Genomic DNA, 3,410 nt, shown 5'->3' with positions numbered 1-3,410 from the left:
TCTGCAACTAGAGGGAATCATCTCTCCATCATGATCCAGGAATCAGCAGTTCCTGGGTGATTTCCTGTTGTTTTCAAGCACTCCCAAAATCTGAGTGTTAGGAACATTTTCTTGACACGTAGCAACCCCAGGAGTTCATTGCTTACCTCCACCACAACACTCACATCCTCAGCAATTACACATCATGCCATTTTCTTTGTCATAGGGCTTTCCTTCAAAGCAGTGCACACAGGTATGAACGCTTCAAACCACACACACGTGTAGGTAAAACGTGAAAATTCCCCATGCTAAAGACCACCATTGCCAAGAAGTGTTCACACCAGCAAATGTACATACACCCCCTGAAAACATTTAAATTCTTATGAACTTAAATTTTTTAATAGGTGAAATATTAGCATTAATAGAGTTGCAATAATCAAAACTCTATGAAAAAAGCATACTCAGAGGCTTTACCCCCTCCTCTATCCCTTCCACGCTTTCCCACTCCCTGTAGGTAATGAGGCCCCTGAATTATTCCTTGTTTATCGTTCCTTCATTTCTTTGCCAGAGGCATATTATCTGCATTTTGCCAAAACATGGTATGACATGCTTTCCGTTTTGTGCTTATGTCTTTTTTTCCTTGTCATTTTACTCATTTTACCTTGGCTATCACTCCACTGCAGTTCATAACACACTGCCTCACTGTTTTTGACAGCTGCATAGTACTCCACTGTATGGAGGTACCATAGGATATCCCATTGGATATCCTAGTTGTGGGCATTTTGGTGCTTTCCAATACTTGGTAATTATAAGTTGTGCTGCAATGAATGACCTGTACACATTTACTTTCCTCTTGTTAAAGCATGCATCCTGTAATCCCAGCAATTTGGGAGGCCAAGGTGGGCGGATCACAAGGTCAGGAGTTTGAGACCAGCCTGGCCAATATGGTGAAACCCTGTCTCTACTAAAAATACAAAAATTAGCCAGGCCTGGTGGCACGTGCCTGCAGTCCCAGCTACTCGGGAGGCTGAGGCAGAAGAATCACTTGAACCCAGGAGGCAGAGGTTGCAGTGAGCCGAGGTCGCGCCATGGCACTCCAGCCTGGTGACAGAGCGAGACTCTGTCTCAAAAAAAAAAAAAAGCATGCACAGACTCTGGGGCTAGACAGCCTTGGCGGCAGTTCTGTCTCTTTAAATCATTAGCCTCTCTGTGCCTTGGTCTCCTCATCTGTAAATGGAGATGATAAACAGTACTCTTTCTTTTGGGTCATGGTGAGGATCGAATGAGCTAACATGTATAAAAATGCTTAGAACAGTGCCTGGCACCTAGGAAATGCTCAGGAAATGTCAGTTGCATGAGTCTGTACCAAACATTGTCAGTGTTCCAGCCATGCTGGTAAATGTTTAACAATGAGCTCTCAAAAAGAAAACCCCGAATTATGGCACTTGCCAATTTCCATGGTGTAAATACTCCCACATGGCTGACATCAAACTAAATTAATGGTTGTCTCCACACATGTAGCTGGGAAGCAATGCTCACACCCCAGAGGGAGCTGGCCCCGAACACCCCCCTGTGCCCTCTTGCCTGACCCGGTTTGGACACCAGCTGCCTGGCGGCCAGTGCTGGGGCGTTTTGTCCGGTGCTGCCCTCAGAAGGCACTCTGCCTGAGAGTACGCAAAGCCAGCAGTGCCTGGGAGTTTACAGCCCCCAGGGGGATCTTGTGGGTACAAATACTGCAACTGTTGGCTCTGATTGGCTGGCTCTGGGATGTGACTTCCTCCCTAGAGGCTGAGCCAAAGGCATCTTCAGCTGACTTTGCTTGAAGCCTCACCTTGGCTTGGCTTCCTGCCTTTTTTCCTCTCAGTTCCTCTTCCACCTGTCTTTGCAGATAACTTTCCTGGTAACTTCCTTTCACACGCAACCTTGTCTCAGGGTCTACTTCTAGGGAACCCACGTAAGGCTGCATCTCTAGATATCTTTTTCCCTTAAATGCCCTGGGGTTTGGGAGAGTTTCCCACTCAATAATACTCAGTAAGCTTTCCCATTAACCCCGCTATAAGCTTTTCTTGGTTTCCTCTGTGTCTGTGCCCCAAGGTGTGTCTGTCGTGGGGGGATGAGTCATGGAGCAAAGTCCTCCCCACTGACTCAGCAATGCCATTTCCTGCCCACAACCTTCTAGAACTCTTGCACTTTGACACAATGGGGACCAGCCCACCCCTGATTCACCAGCTCAGTTTTCTGTCACATCCTGTACTTTCCCTGAGGATTTTTCTGTTCTCCTTCTGACCAGAGTCAACGCCAACCAACCCACAAGCAGCAGAGAACAGAAACGTGGCCAGATGGTCTCCAATACGGATCAAAAACATAAAGAGGCAAACGTGGAGGGGCGGAAGGTCCTTGGCCCTTTTCTCTTGAAATTGAGTTCGCTGTGTTGAAATGTCCATCGTGTCTGCATCCCCTTCCTGGTTTTCCCCAAAGAGGCCGTGGCGGGGGAACAGGTGGCGTTCCATGTGGTGGCAACATGAAGGGATCACTCGCCAGCGAGCATAATCGCTCTGGAAACATTCGGAATACTCATATGTTCTGTACTTTTCCCCTGAGTCAATAAGGTAGAAATGCATCAGGAGAAAGTCAAAGGTTTCTGTCAAAATCCAGACCACAGGGAGAAAATGACGAGTTGATGGGGCTCACCCTGTGATCAATTTCTCCGTGAACCTGACAGGGAAGTCTTCTTAGAGGGCACCTCAGCGTCTGAAGTTGGCTTTCACAATGAGCAGAAGGTGAAAAGCTGCCAAACAACAGCCACTTTCAAAATCCAGTGAAAACAGAACTAAGCCAACAAAGGAATAACAAGGTCCCAGGTTGCAAAACAAAACAAGTTGGGAAAACTTGTCCAAGAGCTGTACTGAACTCTTGCATGGGCGCTGACGTACACAAATCATCCTCATCACCTCTGAAACGAGGCAGCTCTAAATTACTTCTTGAATTCCATATGGTTAATCTGCAGGCACAGGAACATGCTTTAGGGTGAAATTTAGTTGTTGTTGTTTTCACTGGGCTTGCAATAACATATTGTAAATGACTAAGGCTAGATGACACTTTCACACCAGTCTTGAAATCATCCCAGTGATCTTGACCCAATGCCAGATGAGGATCTTGGTGCAGATAAAGCGACTGTGCTTCTTCTTCCTGCAGAATTAACATTAACAATCCTGCACATTAACAATCTAGAACTATGTTAGCCAGGGTATTTGAGGCAGAATTCTGAACTGAAATTGGTCGTCTCCTAGCACAATGATTTTTAAATACAAAACAAGCAAACACACAAAAAGAAAAAAAGAAACAACAAGAAATTTTAAAATGTCGTATCTATCTTATGAAAGCCAAAATGAAAGATTGGCAACCTTTCCTGAATATGGGCATTGTCCACA

General features: G+C 45.7%; 3 annotated features.

Moving 5' to 3' along the window:
• Positions 1,672–1,721: a silencer, noted in NCBI's record as "silent region_7832". NCBI's record gives its function as "represses an Ori minimal core promoter by ATAC-STARR-seq in GM12878 lymphoblastoid cells {active_cell/tissue: GM12878}" and the evidence as "EXISTENCE:reporter gene assay evidence [ECO:0000049][PMID:35858748]".
• Positions 1,728–2,927: an enhancer, noted in NCBI's record as "P300/CBP strongly-dependent group 1 enhancer chr16:86697509-86698708 (GRCh37/hg19 assembly coordinates)". NCBI's record gives its function as "activates an origin of replication core promoter dependent on BRD2, BRD4, P300/CBP, MED14 and CDK7 cofactors, with strong dependence on P300/CBP, by STARR-seq in HCT116 cells {active_cell/tissue: HCT116}" and the evidence as "EXISTENCE:reporter gene assay evidence [ECO:0000049][PMID:35650434]".
• Positions 1,822–1,951: an enhancer, noted in NCBI's record as "active region_11319". NCBI's record gives its function as "activates an Ori minimal core promoter by ATAC-STARR-seq in GM12878 lymphoblastoid cells {active_cell/tissue: GM12878}" and the evidence as "EXISTENCE:reporter gene assay evidence [ECO:0000049][PMID:35858748]".

Source organism: Homo sapiens, chromosome 16 (assembly GCF_000001405.40).
Source record: "Homo sapiens chromosome 16, GRCh38.p14 Primary Assembly".
Taxonomy (NCBI): domain Eukaryota; kingdom Metazoa; phylum Chordata; class Mammalia; order Primates; family Hominidae; genus Homo; species Homo sapiens.
Note: the sequence above shows the minus strand (reverse complement) of the source record. Positions and strands in the feature narration are given on the sequence as shown.